Genomic DNA, 24,967 nt, shown 5'->3' with positions numbered 1-24,967 from the left:
AGATTATATTTCATGTTATTTTTATCTTTGTAGAAGTCAGATGATATTTGTGTAGAGCAGGAGTTGGCAAGCATTTTCTGTAAAGGTTCAGCTGGTAAATATGTTAGGTTTTGTGGATCATATATGCTTTCTGTCACATATCCTCTGTTGTTTATTATTTACCATCCTTTAAAAATGTAAAAACTATTCTTAGTCCCAGAGCCATACGAAAACAGTCTCACAGGCTAGATCTGGCCTATGGGCAATAGTTTGCCAATGCCAGGTGTAGAGTATGGGCTTTGGACTCACACCTGAGGTTAAATCTTTGTTCCCAAACCTGCTAGTGTAATTAGCCTAGTTTGCAAACCCTAGTGTGACTAGGGTAAGTAACATAACTCACTTCTCTGTGTTTTGGTTTTCCACTACGAAACAACTAGCTCTTATGGTAGTCGAGAGCATGAAACCAGCAAGTGTTTATCTACATATACTCAATACAGAGCCTGGGGCAAAGCTGGCATTTAATACGTGGCAGCTATTATTATTGTAAGTGGTAGCTTCTGCCCCAAATCAGAGAATGTCAAGAAACTTTCATAATGGTAAATAGAACTCAGAAGGTAATTCTTTCTCAGGGAATTCTGTAGATATTTTAAGATAATTTTTAAGAGAAATTTATTGATATTTAGATGACTCCATGAGACACTGATTCAGGAATACGTGCTTTGTTGCTTTATTTCCTTATTATAAAATCCTTGCAGATAGATGCAAAGGATATAGGAAATGGATGTTGGTGTGTTTTTGTTACATTTGAGTTACATATTTATTGCTTCAGAATTGAATATGTGATATATGTTTATTTCTGTGCTACTTGACAGAAGTGCCAGAAACAATAACGTGGGTATAACTTGAAAAGATCTCCCGGAATGAATCACTAAAGTTAAAACACTAAGTCAAAAAGGGCCCTTGCTGAATGAACTGCTCTTTGACAACACATAAACATTCTAATCCAGAGCTATTATATGGCACAGCACTTGTTTTATAGATCCATAATCCAGTCATTATGAATGAAATATTATCTGTGATTTTCATTTTGTACAAATATTTCTATATGATCTCTGGTTGTGTGTTTCTACTTTTATTTATAAGAAAACAGAAGCTGTCGAAGAGGCTTCAAGCCATGCTATAATCGCCGCTGCATTCCTCATGGCAAGTTATGTGATGGAGAAAATGACTGCGGAGACAACTCTGATGAATTAGATTGTAAAGGTAAATACTTGTTCCATCAATCTCAGAATATTGGTGTGCTAAGTGTTTCCTGAACTTTTCCAACATTCGTTTCTGAGAGCTCTGTGGCATATAACACCTAGTAACATCTATGGATCACACTTTGGTAAATGCTGTTGGAATGGAGTTGCTAAAGTTACTTGAAAATTCTGACTGTGTTCTCCATTTCTGTTTTCTACTCCTTTCCTCCCCTTAAAACTCTTATAATTTCTCGCCTCTTCAGTTCCACCTTCCTGGATTCGGACATTTCTACCAGAATGTGTAATATTGAATTTTCTGTTCCAAAAATGTTCCCCTTTATTCCTTAGTTCTCTGTTTTACTCATGATCACATTTTCCTAACCACTGGACGGGAAACTTTGGTGTTCTCCTTAATTTCTCCTTCCCACATATCCAGTCATCAACAAATCTTCCAGTTCTTTGAAATATCTTCCATTTCAATCCACTTTAAGCCTGGGCTAACAGAGTATGCCTTTACCTGGTTTCCCTGCCTATACTTTTTCCAGTTCATCCCTATGTCATCAGTCATGCTAATACTGTTTAACATTTTCCAAAAGTGACTATTAGGATAGATGATGAAGCCAAACTACCTGAGTTAGAACTGCTGCCCCAACACTTTACTGTCTAAATTTGGATATCACACTTAACTATTCTGTGTCTCAGTTTCCCAAATAGCAAGGTAGAAAAAATAATTAAATAAGAAAAACAATATTAAATAAGGTTAGAACAGTATTTGGCAATAGTGTATGCTATGTTAGCACTGGCTTTTATATATATATGTATATTGCATTGATAAAGAAACTTTTAATGGAATACCAATGTTTGCTGAATAAATGATAAGTTTTAGTCTGACATTGAAAGCCTTCTTAAATCTGGACCCCACAGATATTTCCAAAGCATTATCACTTTAGAGACTTGCCATTCAATGAACACACTTTATTGAGTGCAATGCATTAAGGTTCGAGACGCAAAATTCATGAGACACGTGCCTGTACTCAAGAATATCAAATTCTAACTCTAAGACAGCCATGTAAACAGATCGAGATATATATGTGTATATATATATATATATATCTTGTGCTGTGATTGCACACGTAAGAACACCCATATGTCTTTTTTGTTTTTTGGCTTGCAAGTATCCTCAAAGGTTTCATAGGCTATACTGAATTTAAACTGAGTCTTAAACTAAAAATAAGGTAGAATGAATGAAACAAAAGAGAATTCCAAGTAGAGGGACTACCATTGAAACTGAAAGTAATTTGATATAGTCACAGACAGATTACATATAAGAGAGTGGTAAAAACAGAAGGGCCAGGCGTGGTGGCTCATGCCTGTAATCCCAGCACTTTGGGAGGCTGAGGTGGGCATATCACAAGGTCAAGAGATTGAGACCATCCTGGTCAACATGGTGAAACCCCATCTCGACTAAAAATACAAAAATTAGCCAGGCGTGGTTGCACTCGCCTGTAGTCCCAGCTACTCGGGATGCTGAGGCAGGAGAATCGCTTGAACCCGAGAGGTGAAGGTTGCAGTGAGTTGAGATCACATCACTGCACTCCAGCTTGGTGATAGAGTGAGACTCCATACCCCCCACCCCCCAAAAAAACCAAAACAAACAAACAAACAAAAAACAGAGAAGGTATGGGAAGGAGCCAGGGCATGAAGGTGCATTTTGTGCCATGTGAAGTAACTCAAACTTTTTCTTGTAGTCACTAGAAAGTCACTAAAGGTTTAAAGCAGGCCAAATATAATCAAATTTACATTTCAAAAAGGAATGAAAAGAATAGGATTGTGTTAACGAAACCTATAATAATAAGATTTGTTTGTGTGGGAATGGGGATAAGACAATAAGGATGGTTTGCATTTTGAGATTGGAGCACTTGAGGAAATCTAAATGAAGCTGTTTCACAGGCATGTAGATAGGTAGAGATTTGGAACTCAGGTAATAGATGTTGATCAGAAGTATTGATTTGGGGCTCATTAAGGAGAAAAACTCAGAGGAAGTGTGGAGTAATGATTGCATGAGTAGAGTGCATCAAAATTACTTATTTAAATAACAAATTATATATGAAAAGGTGAAGTAGCCTGCAGGACTAATAGAGGGATATGCTTAAGAAATTATTTTCTCAAGAAAGGAGGATCATTCAGCATTTTCAAGTGCTACAGAAAGGGTAAGAGGGCAGGCATGAACTGGAGGTATCCGTCATATTTGGCCAATAGTAGATACTCGCTTGATGACATTCATGTGTGTCAGTTCAGTGGAACAGTAGAGGAAAGCAAGAGCACGTTGGTTGAAGACAGAAAATGGGTGGTAAGGGAGTAAAGACAGTGAATGTAAACAGTTTTTAGAAAAGATTGATGTAAAGGAAAGGTATGAAGTACAGTTGTGATGAGAGGACTATGCAGAGTTGAGGAAGAGGGCAGAATGTGTGCAAATTATTTCATAGCTGTATGGAATGTTGGGAAGTTACTCTGCCATCTTAGACAGTGTGACTTTGGGGAAACACTTGCATAGATTATCATCTAAGGTTGACACTGTAGTTTAGGAAGAGCTAATTACATTTGCCAATTAAGTTACCTAGTACCCATAAAAGATTTTAAAAAGTCAAATATAGTCAGACACTGGAAGTAAGCGGAGAGAAATAAATTAGCATTTGGAAGAAAGGAGGAAAAGAAATGAGAAGACCTAGAAATAGATAGGTTCTGTCAATTATTTGTAAGCAGGAGAGGAAAATATAATATAGGCATTAAGCCAGGTTAAAGGTAAAGCTATCAAGAAAGAATGTGCAGGAACTGAGCAATAAATACAGAAAATAGATTTTAAGGCAAGATTCATCAAAAGAAACTATGGGAAGATGATATGTTACTATGGGTTTTCTCCAGAAATGAAAGTATATTTTCAAAAGTGGTAAATGAATTAGTGTGTTTGGGTTTATGAAATATAATACCTCATGTATGGTAGGTGTTTATTAAATTCTTATGTGGCTGGTTGAAGCAGTAAGTCTTCTAAAATATAAATAGATTTTATTCTGCCTAATGATATCAATACCAGCTGCTGAATAACAATAAAATAACTCAAATAGATATTTCCTCTTTTTTAGTCGAAACTCTTGATTTCTGTGTTATAACTATCTCAGTCATACTCTTGGGCGCAGAACAGTGCCTTTGCAAATGAAGCTTCTCCCTTAACCTTTCTTTTATGGTAAAATTATAACAGTTGGATATCTTAAAAATAAACAAGCAAAACTTATGCCTTAAAGCTGGTCACGCTGAATGCAGGACATTTGAAACTAAAATTTCTCATGGAAACACAAGCATATACTTTATTACTTAATAGAAATTAGTGAATTTAATTCAATGGACCAGCTCCTTTAGGATAAACGAATGGGTAGCTATTTGGATGAAAGATTACTCTTACTTGAATCTTTTAGTTTTGATTTTTCTCTCATTTTAAGTTTATTAACATAGTGTCCTTGTAGAGTACCTTTCAAGATATAGAAGGAAGACTTCCCTGGGTCCATAACCCATAAGCCGGGCTGTCTGATAAAGACTTATATTATGCAAATGTGTTTCCACCAAATATCTCCCTTATAGTACAAAAAGATGATAAAGGAAAAGGCATAGATAATGGCTCAGGGAGAATGGAAAAGAGGTCTCTTTCCAAGCCCTTTCTTCCAGTTACCCCTTCTCTCTTTCTATTGTCAGTGCAATGAAGAGATGCAGTGCTTTTTTGTACATATATGCAGACACACAAATCACCTATCACTTTTTAATCAAAATAAAATATAAAAGATAAAGTGATACAATTGGAAGTCAGTATATACAGGGAGATTTTGATAGACTGTAGTAAGAGGCTATGGTGGAGCCATCTGTAAATTATCTAAAGTACTATTATACTTTGCTGAATTTAGATGTCAGTAGTAATTATTACTGTTTTTTAAATTTCACAAGAGTAGAGAGTCTGTTTACAGAGTAGAAAGGGTGTTGCAATGAATTGCTTTTGGTTTCTTCTCTTTTTGGGGAAAAGAAACATGCCAAATCTTCATCATTTTTTTTAATTTACTGCCCCTTTATAGAGGCCCTTTCATGACAGGAGAGCTTTAGACTTCAGGCCATCTGGAGGTGGGGAGATGAGGCATTGTTCATAAGTTCGTCATTTTGTACTCCTCTTCTGGTTGCATGGCAGGTCGAGTGAATATATTCAGGAAGAGTGCATGATATGCTTCCTTCCCTGCTGAGATGAGTACAGACTGCTCCCTTTGGGAAGTACATGAAATTCTTTGGGCTATGGAAGTACTTTTAGGTAGACTGGGAACTAGCAGTTCTGATCCTCCCTAAAGGAGAGGAAACTGGCATTTGTTTTTTCCTAAGTTCATAGCAAACCTTTGAAAGATTCCATAAACAACAAGCTAAAGGAAAAGGATAAACATAGCTGGAGAAGAAATCGGCATTCCTTCTAGATTTGTGCACCCTTAGAACCTAAGGGGTGAATTAAATAATTAAATAAAAGATGTTGTTTGAAAGTAAATGAAAAGGAGATATGAGAGCAAACTTAATGCTTCCCCCCCCCCTTTTCAGCTTCCCTTTGCTACGAGTTGGGTAAGGGATGTTGGAAGAGAGAATTGACTTAGGTTATTTATAAGAAACATCCTAAGAACTACAGAAAGGCCATTGATTTTTAAGTCTTTCAAATCTCACTAAATATTTTAGCTGACATGCTAAAAAGAAAGTGGAAGAAATAGTAAAATTAAAGTATATTAGAGAGAGTGGTTTTACTTTCTCTCTTGCTGCTACTTTTGATCCACAATCCCTGACAGATCTTCTTCCTTTGTAGTGCCTCATTGCTATTCCTGCTGTGGCTGTAGGGTGTTTTCACTCATGTTTCATAAGCTTACTTTTTCTTTCGGACTACCTGGAGGGAAAAGTGTAGTATCTCTCCCTTGGCTTATCTTTATTTGGACCCTATTATTTCATTTTCTCTCTTTATCAGGACTCTTAGCCCGAGGAAATATTGTCAGAAAACTTTCATATTCACTTGGCAAATTAGAGATTTCAGTATCTTTCTTCCTCAAAAATCACCTTATGGATGAAACAAATTTCAATACTTAACTGACCACAACGAAGTGAAGATGAAATATAGTTGAAGCAACAGAGAGAAAGAGGTTTTGGCAAGAGATGTGTTTACTTATTTAATGAAGTTCCTACTATTTCTGTAGATTTTTTTTTTCCTCACAGGATTCTCCTTCCTTGCCTGTTAATGAAGGCAATATTAATCCCCACAGTCACCTTGCTCCTACTGCTTACAAAACTCTGCAACAACTTTCATCACCCTGTCTAACTCTCTGGTGGTTCTCAAACCCTACACCAAATAATGCAATATGTGGAGACAGGATCAGGTACAAAGGGACAATCTGTTCCTACTTGCACCTCTTACACACTCTGATAGCCCATCCTTGTCCCCCTCCCAAAGATTCATTAGCCCTATTGTTATTTTGGAAAATAGGAAAAAAAAAATACATCCTGCAAATCTTCTACTCTTTGTTCTGTCCTGCGAACTTCTTCCTTTATCTATTTCCTTATGCTTATTAATACAGTTTTTTAAATTACTACTTTCTAACCGCTCTTCTGAACTTCAAAGTTAAAATTTATTTTCATGTAGTTCAAGGTCCTCTATTTCTTTCTTGTTTCCAGAACTCAATCTAAGACTGTGTTCCATTTGTCCCACATGTCCTTCCACTCTTCTCTCAAGTTATCCTTTACTTTCTCTGTTACCTCAGAACTACCAGTGCTGGTTTTTAAAACGCTATTACGTGAAATCGCTGAATTTCCAGTTTTCTTGACTGTCTGAAATGCCATTCCCTACATTTGCCTCCTCATTGTCTCTGCCACTACTTCTCACTCAGACAGAGAATTCTCTATGGGAGATTGGAGGCAGATTGTGATGGTGAAACGAGTTGCAAGTGTCCCTATTAGTATCTTCCTGGCATCCTAAACTCTAACTTCAAGCAGACAGAAACTCAAGTGCATTATGAGATGAACAATTATAGGCTTACTTAGGAATATCATAACTACCTAAAATGTTATTAAACAGAGAAATGCAATTTGTCTTCTAAAAAGAGATTATAAGCAATCTTTCGGAACAAAGTTAGTAAGAAACTACTAGTAGACAGTGAAGCCAAAAACAAAAGGTAAATGATTGACATGATTATATTTATGTTATATATTGCATTTACTATTTCTATTGAAAAAAATTGAATATGAAATGTAACACAAATGAATATAAAAGAGGTTTTGCTCTTATAGACATAAAAGAAAAAAAACTTTTTTCCGTTTTGGAACAATGCATTTATCTCTACTTACAATAGCATTATCTGTTTCACATGTTGTGTTATCATTTTTAATAAAAAAGTGAAGCAATTATAATTGCAAATTGTAAATAAAACATTTATTCTAATCATCATTTAAACAGATAAGTATGCAATTTTGAGATACAATTCAATATAATAAGAACCATACATTATGAAATACAAATGACATACACACCCTTTTGTAAAATCTGCGTATTTTAAAATAGCATTTTAACCATTTGTGATTGATATAATTTCTATTTATAATTAAATAGGCTCTTTAAAATATCAACACTAGTAAAAGTGGCATAATCAAAGGGCCCTTCTGGTTGTCCTTTAATGTAATCAACTTGTAGAAATTTGAATTTGGAATAGAAATATCACCTAAGTTAATTTAACATACATAGCATGTCATGTACCCATTCACAGCATTTTACTGGAAACCACTATATGATTATCAATGGGTAAGCAACTTAGAAAGGAACATATGGTTAAAAATAAGATACTTTATACAAAATGTATATAATGACAATAGCATATTGAATCTAATTTTCATTTAAGTAGAGCAGAGAATTGGATGACTTTTATAATAACAATAATAAGGAATGACACGTGTATATGTTCCTTGACATGAGGCATCCTATTTATTATATTAAATATTAATGATGATATGGCCATGTAACAGAGTATGAGATAGCATAGATGACTTTCTAGTAGTGGTAAGCTGTTCCCTCTGAGAAACAAAGTCAGTGTTCAGTGGTTCCCCCCTGCCCATCTCTTTGTTTCTGTTTCTATCTCTGTCTCTCTCTATTATAGCAGGAAATGCTTTACTTCTTGGCAACCAGGTTGGGATTTCCCAGTAGGCATTTAATCAGGCATTTGCCTACTGTCATAACCTTGGAATGTTGAAGGTGGAAAGAGAGAGAATTTCCAGCAACATTCTTTTTTTTTTTTTTTTGGCTCAGTGCTAGGGTGATATTACCACAGCAATATGATATCAACACAGCATGGTCCCTGCTCTCATGGAGCTTACATTTAGTTAGTGAGACTTCAGGTACTTAAACAGGCAGCTGCAATGCAATATGCTAAATACCACAACAGAGAGAAGAATTGTGTGATAGGGGAAGACATATAAGAGGCATCTAACCCACGCTTGAAGGTGGGGTTCAGGGGTCAAGTTTGGCTTCCCAGAGTTACGAAAGCAAAACCAAACAAAATTATATAAAATAATTGAAATATTCAAAATGTAAAAGCAAGGAGTCATTCTGTCCCATCTTTGCATTTGTTTATGTACCTGTTTTTCTAGTTTCAACCTGTGCCACGGTTGAGTTCCGCTGTGCAGATGGGACTTGTATTCCAAGATCAGCACGATGCAACCAGAACATAGATTGTGCAGATGCTTCAGATGAAAAGAACTGCAGTAAGATATTCCACTACCTTTTGTCTGTTTATGCTTGGGCACTTTTGGCATTGCATTGAACACTGTGCAAGATTTTACTGAACTTTGTCCAAAATTGGTATGTAATTAACCCCTGTTGTGTGGGATAATTACGTATCTATTTCCTCAAATGAAGTTAACTTTTCTCATCTCTATGACCTACATAGAAGGCTCATAATCTTTGAAAATGAGGTACTTTTTCATTTTTTGTTTACCTTCTTCTAGATAACACAGACTGCACACATTTCTATAAGCTTGGAGTGAAAACCACAGGGTTCATAAGATGTAATTCTACCTCACTGTGTGTTCTGCCAACCTGGATATGCGACGGGTCTAATGACTGTGGAGACTATTCAGATGAATTAAAGTGCCCAGGTAATACTAGAATTTAGAAAAACACAGGCTTTGCCTTGGAGATTTTGAGGCTACCTGGTTGTATAGAGTGAATTTTTAAAATTTTATTCTTAATATCAATTATTGACATTAAAATTTAAATGGCACAGACTGAAATGTAATTAACCTGTTCTAAACATACCGCTTGATCTTTTTAAGTGAGTTACAAAATGATATTCAAGAAACCATCCTAAACTTGGATCAATTTTTTATGTTTAGTTATTAACCCTTTCAAAATTGGTGATTAAGTCTTTCAAGTTTGTAATTTATAATCCTTCAACAGAATTATTACATACCTAGAAATAACTTCATAAAAGAAGAGAAACAATGTTTCTTACGACTGGCCTTACTCAGTGTTATTGTACAGCAATGTTTTAATGCAGTTTACAAAATCCTTTGGTGTAGTAATTTGAGTAATAGTTATAATCATTATTGAATCAAGTTAAGACAGGTTCATTTATATCTGACTGTTAACCATCTTTACATACATAAGCCCTGAAAACTGTCATCTACATTCTTAGAAGAATGCCTTCCAGCAAAGTTCTTGACTGTTTCTTTCTATTTGAGGACATGAAATTAAAAAAAAATTATAAAAAGAACTATGTATAACTGGAAGTAGAGATTCTATATAGGACACTATTAAATTTTGTCTCATATTGGTTTGCCTCTCTCCACCCTGCTGCTACACCCATGTTTTTCATGTTTAGTTGATATATAATAATTTTTAAACAATTTTAAGAAATTATATTCATAAGTATTTTACACAAAAGTTTATACACACACAATCTACTATGAAAGTCTGATTTTTTAGTAGATGACACATTTATTATTTCTAAATTTGTGATGGTTCTTTTATCATGTATATAATTGTTTAAATTTTGATTTTACACTTAGAGTGGACATGTGCAGGCTTATTACTTGGGTATACTGCATGATGCTGAGGTTTGGGCTTGTATTGATCCTGTCACGCATTTAGTGAACATGGTACCTAATAGTTTTTCAGTCCTTTGCCTCCTTCCTCCCTCTCCCCTTTTGGAGTCCCCAGTATCTATTGTTCCATATTTACTTCGTTGTGTACTCAATGTTTAGCTCCCACTTGCAACTGGGAACATGTGATATATGGTTTTCTGTTCTTGCATTGATTTACTTAGGATAATGCTCTTGAGCTGCATTCATGTTACTGCAAAGGACATGATTTCACTTTTTTATGACTGCATAGAATTCCATGGTGTATGTGTACCATATATTCTTTATCCGGTGCACCACTGATGGACATCTACATTAATTTAATATATTTGCTATTGTGAGTAGTATTTCAATAAACATATATGAGTGCATGTATCTTTATTTTCCTTTGAGTATGTGATGAGATTGGCTTAAATCATAGTTCTACTTTTAGTTTTTGAGAAATCTCCAAACTACTTTTCACAGGGGCTGAACTAATTTACACTCCGATCAACAGTGTATAAGTGTTTCTTTTTCTCGACAACCTCACCAACATCTTACTTTTTGACTTTTTAAACAAAAGGCATTCTGACTACTATGAGATGGTACCTCGTGGTTTTGATTTGCATTTCTCTCATGATTAGTGATATTGAGCACTTTTTTATGTGTTTGTTGGCCACTTTTATGTCTTCTTTTGAGAAGTGTCTGTTTCTATACTCGACCCATTTTTAATGGGGTTATTTGTTTTTTTTATTTCTTATTGATTTATTTAAATTCCTTATAGATTCTGGATATTTTTTCTTTGCCAGATACATAGTTGGAAAATATTTTCTCCCAGGGTACCTGTTTACTCTGTTGATAGTTTTTTTGTTGTTGTCGTGCAGAAGCTCTTTCGTTTAATGAAGTCCCATTTGTCAATTTCTGTTTTTGTTGCAATTGCTTTTGAGGACTTAGTCATAAATTCTTTTCCTAGGACTGTGTCCAGAAAAGCATTTCTTAGGATTTCTTGCAGTATTTTTATAGTTTGAGATCATACATTTAAGTCTTCAAACTTCTTTGACTTAATTTTTGAATATGATAAGAGGTAGGAGTCCAGTTTCGTTCTTTTGCGTATGGTAAGTGGGATTGTGCTTTTTATTTAGCCCTCAGCTTGAACTTTGTGTATAGTAATGCTACTGATTTTTATACATTAATTTTGCATCTTCACTAAACTTGATTATGAGATCTAGGGGCCTTTTTTGCAGAGTCTTTAGGTGTACATTTATGATGTCAGTGAAGAGAAATAGTTTGGTTTCCTATTTTTCTATTTGCATGCCTTTAAATTTCTTTCTCTAGCCTGATTGCTCGGGCTAAGATTTCCTATACTATGTTGAAAAGGAGTGGTGAGAGTGAGCATCCTTGTTTTGTTCCAGATCTCAGGGGCAATGAATGATTCCAGCTTTTGCACCTTCAATTTGAGATTGGCTTTGGGCTTGTCACAGATGGCTCTTATTGTTCTTTCCATGACTAGTTTGTCGAGGATTGTTATCATGAAGCGATATTGGATTTTATTGAATGCTTTTTCTGTGTCTATTGAGATGATCACATGGGTTTTGTTCTTAATTCTGTTTATGTAGTGAATCATACTTATTGATTTGCATATGTTGCACCGACCTGGAATCCCAGGAATAAAGCCTACTTGCCCATTGTGAATTAGATTTTTGATGTGACACAGGATTTGGTTTGCTAGTATTTTGTTAAAGGTTTTTGTTCCTATGTTCATTAGGGATATTGGTCTGTAGTTTTGCTGTGGTGGTTGTTGTATCTTTGTCAGATTTTGGTATTAGGATGATCCTGATTTCATAGAATGAGTTAGGGAGAAATCTCACCTCCTTAATTATTTGGAACAGTTTCAGCAGCATTGGTATCAGCTCTTCTTTGTACATCTGGTAGAATTTGGCTGTGAATATATCTGTTCCAGGGCTTTTTTTATTTGTATATTTTTTATTACTGATTCAGTTTTAGAACTCATTGATCTATTCATGTTTTCAATGTCTTCCTTACTCAATTTTGGGAGATTGTGCCTTTCCAGAAATTTATTCATTTTCTCTAAATTTTAGAGTATGTTCACAATAGTTTCTGATGATATTTTGTGGGATCAGTTGTTATGTTGCCTTTGTCATTTCTGATTGTGCTTGTTTTAGACTTATCTCTTTTTTTTTTGTTAATCTAGCAAGCGGTCCATCAACATTGTCTAACCTTTAAAAGAACCAGCATTTTATTTCATTGATCCTTGTATAGTTTTGGGGGTCTCATTTTATTTTCTTCTGCTCTGATTTTAGTTTTTTTCTTCTGTTGACTCTGGGATTAGTTTTTTTCTTTCCTTGGTTCGTTTAGGTGCAGTCAGATTGTTATTTGAGCTCTTTCTATCTTTTTGATGTGGACATTTAGTACTATAAACCTTCCTTTTAATACTGTTTTTGCCACATCTCAGAGATTTTGGTATGTTGTGTCTCTGCTTTCATTTGTTTCAAATAATCATTTGTTATCTGCTTTAATTTCATTGTTTACCCAAAATTCATTCGGAGCAAGTTTTAGTTTCCATATTATGTGGTTTTGAGTATTCCTCTGGTTATTGATTTCTACTTTTTCTATTTTTATTTCACTGAGGCCTGAGAATTTGGTATTTTTAAAAAATTTATTGAGACTTGTTTTATGACCACACCTGTGGTTAACTTTAGAGTATATTTTGTGTACAGATGAGAAGAATGTATATGCTACGGTAGTCTGGAGTGTTTTGTGGATGTCTATTAGGTCCAATAGGTCAAGTGTTGAATTACATTCAGAATTTCCTTGTTAGTTTTCTGCCTCATTGACCGAATGATGTCACTGGAGTATTGAATTCTGCTACTGTTATTGTGGCTATCAAGTTGTTTTGTAGGTCTAGAAGTACTAGTTTTATGAATCTAGGTGCTCTTCTTTATTTTTTTCTACTGTTGTTGTTTAAAGTCTATTATATCTGATATACGAATAGCAAATACTGCTCTTTTTTTGTTTTCCATTTGCATGATAGATCTTTCTCCATCCTTTTCTTTGAGCCTATGGGTGTCATTATGTCAGATAGATCTCTTGAAGATGGCAGAAGGATAGGTTTTGCTTTTTTATCCAGTTTACAACTGTATGTCTTTTAAGGCCATTTACATTGAAGGTTAATATTGATATGTGAGATTTTATTCTTGTTGTAGTGTTGTTAGCTAGGTGATTTTTAGTGTCATTTGTGTAGTTGCTTTGTAGGGTTCATGGGCTGTGTGCTTATGTGTTCTTTTGTGGTAGTATCATTCTTTCATTTCCATTCAAAGAACCCCCTCAGGCTCTCTTCTAGTACTGATCTGGTGGTGATCTAGTCCTTTAACAATTGCTTGTCTGGGAAAGACTTTATTTCTCCTTTATCTATGGAGGTTAGTGTAAAATTCTTAACTGGCATTTATTTTCCTTAAGAATGCTAAAAATAGGTCCCCAATCTCTTCTAGATTTTAAGGTTTCTGCTGAGAAGTCTGTTGTTAGTCTGCTAGGTTTCACTTTACAGGTGATGTGGCCAATTTTTGTAGCTGCTTTCAAACTTCTTTTATGTTGATGTTGGATAGCCCAATGACCGTGTGCTGTGCCTTGGGGATGATTGTCTTGTTCAGTATCTTGCAGGAGATCTCTGGCTATCTTGAATCTGTCTGTTGATTTCTCTAGCAAGATTGGGGATATTTTCATGAATTATACCATCAAATATGTTTTCTAAGTTGCATACTTTCTCTTCTCTCTCATGAATCTCAATAAGTCATAGATTTTATCACTTTTCTTGATCCTATATTTCTCAAAAGCTTTGTTCATTTTCTAAAATTCTTTTTTATTTTTGAAAAAAATTAATATGAAGGACCAGTCTTAAAGCTTTGGAATTCTTTCTTCTGCTTGGTCTAATCTATTGTTAAGGCTTTCAATTGTATTTTGAAATTCTGCAGTGATTTTTTTTAATTCCAAAAGTTCTGTTTAGTTCTTTCTTAATCCTGCTATGTTGTCTTTCAAATCCTGAATTTTCTTTTTTTTTTTTTTTTCTGTTTTCTTAGTGTTAGATTTCAAACTTCTTTTGGGTTTTGTTGAGTATTCTTGCTATGCATGTCCTAAATTCTAGAGCATTTGACTGTAGCTCACTGCAGGTCTTTCACATTAAAAAAATTAATTATATAAAGTATTTAAAAGAAATATAGACACTTATTACTTTAGACTCATGAAACTGGCACCAAAAAAAATTATACTTTAAGTTCTAGGGTACATGTGCACAATGTGCAGGTTTTTTACATATGTGTACATGTGCCATGTTGGTTTGCTGCACCCATCAACTCGCCATCCACATTAGGCATTTCTCCTAATGCTATTCCTCCCTCATCCCCCAACCCCAAAACAGACCCCAGTGTGTGATGTTCCCTGCCCTGTGTCCAAGTGTTCTCATTGTTCAATTTCCACCTATGAGTGAGAACATGTGGTGTTTGGTTTTCTGTCCTTGCGATAGTTTGCTCAGAATGATGGTTTCCAGCTTCATCCATGTCCTTACAAAGGACATGAACTCATCCTTTTCTATGGTTGCATAGTATTCCATGGTGTACATGTGCACATTTTCTTAATCCAGTCTATCATTGATGGACATTTGGGTTGGTTACAAGTCTTTGCTATTGTGAATAGTGCCGCAATAAACATACATGTGCATGTGTGTTTATAGTAGCATGATTTATAATCCTTTGGGTATATACCCAGTAATAGGATCACTAGGTCAAATGATATTTCTAGTTCTAGATCCTTGAGGAATCGTCACACTGTCTTCCACAATGGTTGAACACTCCCAAAAACAGTGTAAAAGCATTCCTATTTCTCCACATCCTCTCCAGCACCTGTTGTTTCCTGACTTTTTAATGATCGCCATTCTAACTGGTGTGAGATGGTATCTCATTGCGGTTTTGATTTGCATTTCTCTGATGACCAGTGGATGATGAGCATTTTTTTCATGTGTCTGTTGGCTGCATAAATGTCTTCTTTGGAGAAGTGTCTGTTTATATCCTTTGTCCACTTGTTGATGGGGTTGTTTGATTTTTTCTTGTAAATTTGTTTGAGTTCTTTGTAGATTCTGGATATTAGCCCTTTGTCAGATGGGTAGAGTGCAAACATTTTCTCCCATTCTGTAGGTTGCCTGTTCACTCTGATGGTAGTTTCTTCTGCTGTGCAGAATCTCTTTAGTTTTATTAGATCCCATTTGTCTATTTTGGCTTTTGTTGCCATTGCTTTTGGTGTTTTAGTCATGAAGTCCTTGCCCTTACCTATGTCCTGAATGGTATTGCCGAGGTTTTCTTCTAGGGTTTTTATGGTTTTAGGTCTAACATTTAAGTCTTTAATCCATCTTGAATTAATTTTTGTATAAGGTGTAAGGAAGGGATCCAGTTTCAGCTTTCCACATATGGCTAGCCAATTTTCCCAGCACCATTTATTAAATAGAGAATCCTTTCCCCATTTCTTGTTTTTGTTAGGTTTGTCAAAGATCAGATGGTTGTAGACGTGTAGTGTTATTTCTGAGGCCTCTGTTCTGTTCCATTGGTCTATATCTCTGTTTTGTTACCAGTATCATGCTGTTTTGGTTACTGTGGCCTTGTAGTATAGTTTGAAGTCAGGTAGTGTGATGCTTCCAGCTTTGTTCTTTTTGCTTAGGATTGTCTTGGCAATGTGGGCTCTATTTTGGTTCCATATGGACTTTAACGTAGTTTTTTCCAATTCTGTGAAGAAAGTCATTGGTAGCTTGATGGGGATGGCATTGCGTCTATAAATTACCTTGGGCAGTATGGCCAGTTTTATGATATTGATTCTTCCTATGCATAAGCATGGACTGTTCTTCCATTTATTTGTGTCCTCTTTTATTTCTGGCCAGGGCAATCAGGCAAGAGAAAGAAATAAAGGAAAGAAATTAGGAAAAGAGGAAGTCAAATTGTCCGTGTTTGCAGATGACGTGATTGTATATTTAGAAAACCCCATTGTCTCAGCCCAAAATCTCCTTAAGCTGATAAACAACTTCAAGCAAAGTCTCAGGATACAAAATCAATGTGCAAAAATCGCAAGCATTCTTATACACCAATAACAGACAGAGAGCCAAATCATGAGTGAACTCCCATTCACAGTTGTTACAAAGAGAATAAAATACCTAGGAATCCAACTTACAAGGGATGTGAAGGACCTCTTCAGGGAGAACTACAAACCACTGCTCTACGAAACTGGTGCCAAGATTCTTAATTTTCTGTTTACAACAACACATTCTTTACCTCAGTATGACTGTAGTTAATTTTGAAATTATCTTGAGGTCAGCATATGATAGATATTAATTAAACTAAAATTTTATTTTTCTTTTTTGTGATCTCCATCTCTTTCTAGTATTAATAAGTTATCTTAAAATTAACTTTCAACACTAATAGAGAATCACAACTTTTATATTTGGTAAGAAAGAAAGGGACATGCATGCAGGCTTATGAGGCAGGTAGACAGACAGACAGGAAGCCAGCAATGGGTCAGCCTAAATACTTCAGATTAGATCCAGGAAACATCCTAAGCATCCTAAAATGTTTTGGTTTAATGCTGAATTCACTCAAAAAATATATTTTCATCTTTAATTACATCTACAAAGTCAACATATAAAAAATAAAATGCCTACAATTTTTGTTATCTTAAAATAGCCATAATAGACCATTATAGTGTGATTGGGATATATACACTAGGGTTTACTTCCTGCTTGGCTATAGATCAAACATGTAAAATCATGTAAACCTGAAGGAGCAATGGAACAGATGACACCCAGTTAAAAGATAAATTTAGGCTGGGCACAGTGGCTCACACCTGTAATCCCAGCACTTTGGGAGGCCGAGGCGGGAGGATCATGACGTCAGAAGTTCAAGACCAGCCTGACCAGTATGGTAAAACCTCATCTCTATTAAAAATACAAAAATTAGCCGGGCATGGTGGCACAAGCCTGTAGTCCTAGCTATTCAGGAGTCTGAGGCAGGAGAATCACTTGAACCCGGGAGGCGGAGTTTGTAGTGAGCCAAGATTGTGCCACTGCACTCCAGCCTGGGTGACAGAGTGAAACTCCATCTCAACAAAAAAAAAAAAAAAAGGAAAGATAAATATAGTATTCTATATGTACTCTTGAAGGTTAAAATAATGATAATACTCCATAATTTAAAAAATATATATAATTTACAAAATAATTTTACATACAGGTACTTTTTTATGATAATTCTGAAAGGCATAATAATTTCAGATTTGCCAGTGTAACTCGTTTATTCTTCCTTAAAATACAGAATAATTGTTTAAATCCTGTTAAGGAATACTCCAAATAGATGGCCACAGAAACACTAGATTCACACTTTTCCAGCAAAGATACACCAATGTATTAATTTTATTATTTTGTGCTATGAATATGGAATTAAGAGTATTTTCCACCCAAATATTATTCTTTGGCCTTAGGCTCACTCAATTTAGAGTCGTATCTATTTTTTAACTTTATTTTATGTTTATTAACTAAGTGCTACTGTTATAATTTAAACCAATTTTACATTACTATAATCTTTCTGTTCTAGGACTCAATCCTGGATTGGATTTGATTATCATGTCTCATGGGTCTCTGTTCTGGGACAGTTTCTGAATCTTTCCTTTATTTTCATAACCTTGACATTCTTTAGGAGAAAATCTTAGCTATTTTTAAGCTTACTTGTTATTTATCTCTTTCAGTTTAGGGAGTATTAATGATTTATCTACCTATATTTCAGAAGTCTAAAATGAAATTGTTTGACATTCCATATTTTATCACAGTTCAAAACAAACACAAATGTGAAGAAAATTATTTTAGTTGTCCTAGTGGAAGATGCATTTTGAATACCTGGATATGCGATGGTCAGAAAGATTGTGAGGATGGACGTGATGAATTCCACTGTGGTGAGACATTGTATTTAGCTTAGTTTTTGTTAACCTTACTATTACTTATATGTTAGTATTCTCTTATGTAGGGATTTTATACAAAACATTGTCAGCTGATTTTAACATTAATTTTCATTTTTATTAAATAATACAAAAATGGTAAAGATTAAAATTAAAACAGAAGAGCTTATAATGAAGACTAACACTCTTTGGTCCTAGACTTTTCTTTTAACCTCTGTTTTTGTTGAATAATTACTTCCATCAGTTTATAATATAGATATAATAAAGTTATACCTTTTCTTAATTTATTAACTTTAGGTGGTACCTGATGTATTTGCTTTCTGCTATAAAAAATAAGGATTTGACACATGCTACTTGTTATATTTCCCCCACCTATTATTGGTATCTGCATGGGGGATTGGGTCTAACACCCTGTGGACACCAAAATCCATGGATGCTCAAGTCCCTTATATAAAGCAGCCTAGTAGTTGCATATAACCTATGCACATCATCCTGTACATTTTAAATAACCTCTTGATTACTTATAATGCCTAATACAATGTAAATATTATGTTAATTATTGTTTTATTGTATTGTTTTTATTTGTATTATATTTTATTCTTGTATTGTTATTATTTAATCTTATTTTTTCAAATACTTCTGATGTGTAGTTTGTTGAATCCATGGATATTAAAGGCACAGATGTGGAGAGCTGACTGAATATTATTATCCTGAAATTTTGTACTAATTACATGTATAGCTTTCAATAATATATATAAACTTCTATTTCTTTAAACTTTTGCCTTTCATCTTCTACCTCCTAATTTCTGTGTGTGTACACTTTATTTCATGTTACATTGTCAAACTAAGAAAGCATTTTTACGTTTTGTTTCTAAAATGTATGGATTTTGTGATTTGCAAATCAAAGAAATTTCCAATAGGAAAACAAGGTATATATTCACTATTTACATTTAGCACAAATAACATACACTGTGGTGAATAGATAGAGTAGAAAAAAGATTAAAAACGGATTTTCTGTGAAATGTCAAACTCTCCTAAAAGTAAATGTCATCATGAAATGTGAAGGTGCATTTTATTTTACTAAGATGCCATATATCTTTACATTAGAGCCAGATTTTGAACAAGACTAACAGAGAACTTCCAAAATATTGTATGTGGATTCATAATTTCTGAACACTGGCCATTATCTGATCATATCTTCTTTAATTTTATTTTTTCCAAACTCCAGTTTTCTAATGTTCTCTGTTTCACAGGTCATCTAATTAAGCATTTTAAATGAAAATGCAAAGTTTTGCAATTGTTTATGAAATCAAAAGCAGAATTGCTATTTTTACAAGAGTTTATATTTTGAACACCTTAATTTAGAAGGATTTTACTTTTGAAGGTTTTCTAGTGACAAATATACTGGGTAGAAGGGGAGGCTGGGAATGGAGGAGAGCAATAACAAAATTGGCTTTGGAAATAAATGGAGTGTGTTATTATTATAAAAATATAATCTAATAATAAAAAAGCCAGCCACTATGCCAATTAATTTAGGTGTTATTAGTCAGGTATAACAAACCCAAGTGTTTCCAAGGAAGCAACACAAAAACATCAGCACAGTTGCTACGTACAAAACTGTCAGGTTGTCTTCAAGCTATAACCTCCTTAGTCACCCACCTTTAAAAACAAACATATCTGCTGATTAGTCCACCATATTGTTACCTTACTTAGGACGTAAGTGTTTTCTCTTGGCTCAAAGATAGATTTAAAGTTAAAAAGTATGACTAGACTATACCAGAAATATATATTTTATATCTATGCATTACACATTCAAAAAATAATAATAACAGACAAATATACCTGGAGTAGAGTGACCGCATTAGGACTACCTCAAAGGCAAGCCTTATAAGAATCATGTTGAACAAATCGTGGTTGTATCACCTGGAAACACAGAGGGAATATGCAAGCTGATGCCAAAATTTTATAGAATTGTCATAGAAAAGAAGAAGTTGGCTTCTTTTATTATAGGATTGTTGATTTTAGCAAAGTCTAAGAAAGAATCTTCTCACTGTCGGATCTGTTGTAAGACGGTCTCAAACTATTTTTTTTTTTCCTTTTGTTTGTTTCCTAGATTCTTCTTGCTCTTGGAACCAATTTGCTTGTTCCGCACAAAAATGTATTTCTAAGCATTGGATTTGTGATGGAGAAGATGACTGTGGGGATGGGTTAGATGAAAGTGACAGCATTTGTGGTAAGTTGTGTATCTTCTGTCCTCAATCAGTTTTTAAGCATTATATATGCTCTATCATTTTATAGCATACACAAAATTTGCTAATTTATTAAAATTAACATAAAATTTATGTGTACCTTTCTAGGTAGCTGTTTTTATTATTTTCATGACAATCCATTATTCTAATATTTTTATATATAAAGCTGTTATTCAATATTTGGTATTTTTCCTTAATATTGCCACAACAAATGTATTTGTACATTTTATTTCTAGCTTTCGGTGAATTCTTTGAAGCAAATATCAATGATTGAGATTACAGGGTCAAATAATCAAACTTATTTTTCATTATGCTGCCTATGTACCACCAAGTTACCCTCCAAAATTAGTATACTAATTTATACTGCCACAAGCCACACGTGCTGTTTATGTGCATATGTGTGTGTTGTTTTCATCCTTATTGCTGAATTGTTTTAAATAAGAAGTAAAGGAAAGTGGCTATTTTATATGATATTAAAATGCACTTTAAAATGTAGCTTTATAAGATTAGAGGTATTAGTGTCACGTATCTATACTTAACTACTATATGTCAACTACAAGCCCAGTATGATTGCTTTGTAATATTCACAAATATTTAACAAATAGTTAAATAGAATTATTCACTGAATTTCCTAAGGGGTAAAAGAAGGAAACAAGCTAGTCTTTAAAATTTGTTCTTACCGGCCAAGAATTTCACTATTTTTATAGATGTCTATTGGTTGTCTATCTAATCTATTTCTGTACATGCATTTGTACCTGTAGCTATATATTCTTTACTCATTACATCAGCCTTTGGTGGCAGCTGTTATCATCCTCTTTTAGGAAGAGAAGGACCCAAGTCATAGAATAAGGTGTATGTATAGATTTTAGTATACTTAACACCTCTTTTAAATTTCAGGGGTTGTGGACTGCTATTTCTGTCACAAACATATAGAGAAAGGCGGTATTTTTTAGTATTCAAGCTCAACTGAAGTTCTCTTTAGTAATATGAAATTGGAGATATTCTTGAAAGTAGGCAATTTACTTTCTTGTATTTAAGTCACTCAAAATCTACTTTTTATTTACACAGCTGAAACCATTTACAGTTATACAACAGACAAATATAGAAAGATCACTATCAAAAAGCTGTGAAAGAAAAAAAGTCAGTAATCAATTAGATGACTGTCTGTTTCTCTTTGCTATTACTTTTAAAAATAAATTTAATAAAAGAATTACCTATTTACAATAGGATGAGCACTGTTTCAATCTCTAAAATTATCTTACTTTTGACTTTTGTTAAACTCTACACTAAACTGCCCCGTTGATAACACTGTGCTTTCTGAGTGGACACAGTATTATAGGGGCAAAGTCTCTAAAGTCATGTAGACTTGACTTCTCCCACATCTGCATTTTCAAGCTGTGTGATCATAGACCACTTCATTTTTTTCCTTATCTTGTTATTCCTTACCTATTAATTGGATACAAAAAGATTTGTACTTATATACCTGTATACCTAATATGATCATCCAACATAACCAATGTACACTATATTTATGAGGTTTTTCTGATTTTATTTCTCCTGCCTCCTTTCTTTGTCGAAGTATTGTCAGTGTCCTAATAATGCTTTTTTATTAAAGACTAATAAGAAAATGGACATGTTTACCTGCAATCAAAATACTGAGCTTATTTACGTTAATTATGAGCTGTATTTTATGTACTAACTACCAAGCTTGAGACACATAAAGAAAATACTGCTTTAGACCAATCATCAGCCAATGAACTGAACCTCCTATTTTAGAACAGGAAAATAACTTTATAAATAATTCGTCTCACTTGTTTTCAACCTTTGGAGTACAAAAGATCGTTCTCAGAAGTGTGTTAAAAATGTTGTTTCCCAATTTCCAATTCAAAATATTCTGATGCAGGATGTAAACACATTCTTTATTGATATGCACATAGTGATTCTGATTTGGAATATTAAGGGTCCCATTTTGAAAACCATGGTCTAGTTTATTTCCATCTTTTGAGAGATGAAAAAAGAGAAACTCACAGAAATTAATACATTTTCCTGAGGTCACTCAGATAATTAACTATGACAGAGGTATGAGCAGAATTCAGGTTCCAAAATATTAATAGGCTAGTGACTCTTATCAATTAAATATTATTATCCGAGTTGGTGTGCAAGATGGATCTAGTGGAATTTATCAACTTGTCTTTCTTCTCCCTCGGGATTCTTTTCCCTGAGAAAGGCAGTATATCTCCAGATGGCAGTGGCAACTATGAAATAAAGTCATGAATTTTTTCTTTGGCCCATTTTCTTCCCAATTGACTATGATGTTTTGGCATGTTCTTAACACAAAATCTGTTGAATACTATCAAGGGAGCCAGAAAATTAGCTGCAAAGAGCCTTATGCCATTTTATAGCTGGAGATATCTCAGTAATGATCTAGTCATACCCATCATTTTAAAGATAGGGTAATTCAGACACTAGTCTTCATCAAGGTCATACAGAATTAGATTTCTCCACTGCCAAATCGGGGCTCTTTCTATTATGACTGCCTTGAGAACAAATTAAAGTGATAATATGGCAGTAGACAAGAAATTTTACATTTATCAAAACTTCCTTAAGAGAAAAAAATGCAGTTAAAAACATCTCAAGCTAAAAAGTAAAAATGTTATACAAAGCATTGAATTGAGAATATAATAATAAAAAGGACACTTTATGGTTTCATGGCAAGCTTAAAAAGGATAGATAAGGAGGAATAATATAAAAATATTTTCTGTGGAAAGATAATTTTATTATAGAAAGTACTGAAGACATACTAGTTAGCAAACAAAATAATTTTTAAATGAAAGTACATTTATTTAATAGATTATTTTCTAACTTCTTCCAGTACTACATAAAATGTTAAACTCCATTCTATTAAATAGATCCTCAGTTAAATAAGCAAGTCTAGATTACGGGGGGGATTTGTCAACATCCACTCTTCATCCTTTCCTCCAGGCTAAGGTATATGTCAAGGACAGGTATGTTTATATTGCAAAAGACCCCTAGAGGGGCTGGGCGCGGTGGCTCACGCCTGTAACCCCAGCACTTTGGGAGACCGAGGCGGGCGGATCACGAGGTCAGGATATTGAGACCATTCTGGCTAACACAGTGAAACCCCGTCTCTACTAAAAATACAAAAAATTAGCCGGGCGTGGAGGCGGGCGCCTGTAGTCCCAGCTACTCCGGAGGCTGAGGCGGGAGAATGGCGTGAACCCGGGAGGCGGAGCTTGCATTGAGCCGAGACCGCGCCACCGCACTCCAGCCTGGGCGACAGAGCGAGACTCCGTCTCAAAAAAAAAAAAAAAAAAAAAAAAAAAGACCCTTAGAGGATTGTATTTTGATACCCCACTGCTTACCATATTGAAAACATTACTTCAAAAAGAATTTTCTGCTCCTAACAACTCTGGCTGAAAAGTAAGAGGATAAATGATAATCCAATTAAAACACACTGTCTACTGCTTTCAATTGTTAGAAACAAATATTTTTCATCTAGTCACTTATATTTTCTTCCTGGAGATAATATACTATTTTCAACACTTCAACAAATTTCTTTTTTAGCATCAATTCTGGGCAACTTTGGGTCATAAGAAAGTAAAATTTAAAAAAAAAAAGAGATTTAGGGTCATGTTACTGATTCACTCAGGTACTTTTTATAAACAAACAAACAAAACATTCAAAACATTCATTGTATGTAACTGCACAGGGACTAGGAAAATATCATGAGGGAGGGCCATTTGACATATGGCTACCCTATGATCATAACGGGAAGGAAAGAGGAACCCTTTGTACTTAAAAGTCCAAGTCAACAAGCATTTTTTTGAAAGACATTATCATGCAACTAAAGAAACATTGCAGTGATAGAGCAAAGGTAGATTCCAATTATTATGCATGAAAAAAATGGAACGTGCATGCATTTATACTTTTTGGTACTACAAGATGGAGAGTAATAGTAATGACATGAGTGGTTAAAAGTTGGTGCTTAGGATTCAGAGGGTGCTTAGGATCCAGAGGACTCCCAGTTGAGCATGCAAAATTGCGTGCAACTTGTGACTTTCTGCAAGCTTTTCAACTTCCCCGAGCCTCAGTTTTCTTTTCTGTAAAATGATACTGATAATAGTTCTATGGGTTGGGCTTATTGTAAGGAATAAATGAGTTAATATGTTAAGTGCTTAGCACGTATTAAGCAATAAAAATGGCATTATTTCAATTACTATTATTTTTCTAGTTCAGGCCTTTAGAAATGTTATCTCAGTGTATTCACAATTCTATGACATTTCTATGCTTTGCCACATTTTACAAGGATAAAGTACATTA

General features: G+C 34.4%; 1 protein-coding gene across 4 annotated transcripts in view; it reads left to right on the top strand.

The window, feature by feature from the left end:
- The window catches only part of LRP1B (LDL receptor related protein 1B), a 1,899,594-nt gene that overhangs the window by 1,595,754 nt on the left and 278,873 nt on the right, over positions 1-24,967 (top strand). For all 4 annotated transcript variants that reach the window (NM_018557.3, XM_017004341.2, XM_017004342.1 and 1 more), the window contains 5 exons: positions 1,123-1,242; positions 8,913-9,026; positions 9,270-9,419; positions 18,252-18,374; positions 20,491-20,610. In NM_018557.3, coding sequence (NP_061027.2) covers positions 1,123-1,242; positions 8,913-9,026; positions 9,270-9,419; positions 18,252-18,374; positions 20,491-20,610 — 627 coding nt within the window. The remainder of the gene's footprint in view (positions 1-1,122; positions 1,243-8,912; positions 9,027-9,269; positions 9,420-18,251; positions 18,375-20,490; positions 20,611-24,967) is intronic.

This window comes from Homo sapiens, chromosome 2 (assembly GCF_000001405.40).
Source record: "Homo sapiens chromosome 2, GRCh38.p14 Primary Assembly".
Lineage (NCBI taxonomy): Eukaryota > Metazoa > Chordata > Mammalia > Primates > Hominidae > Homo > Homo sapiens.
This window is presented reverse-complemented; position numbering and strand designations above follow the sequence as displayed.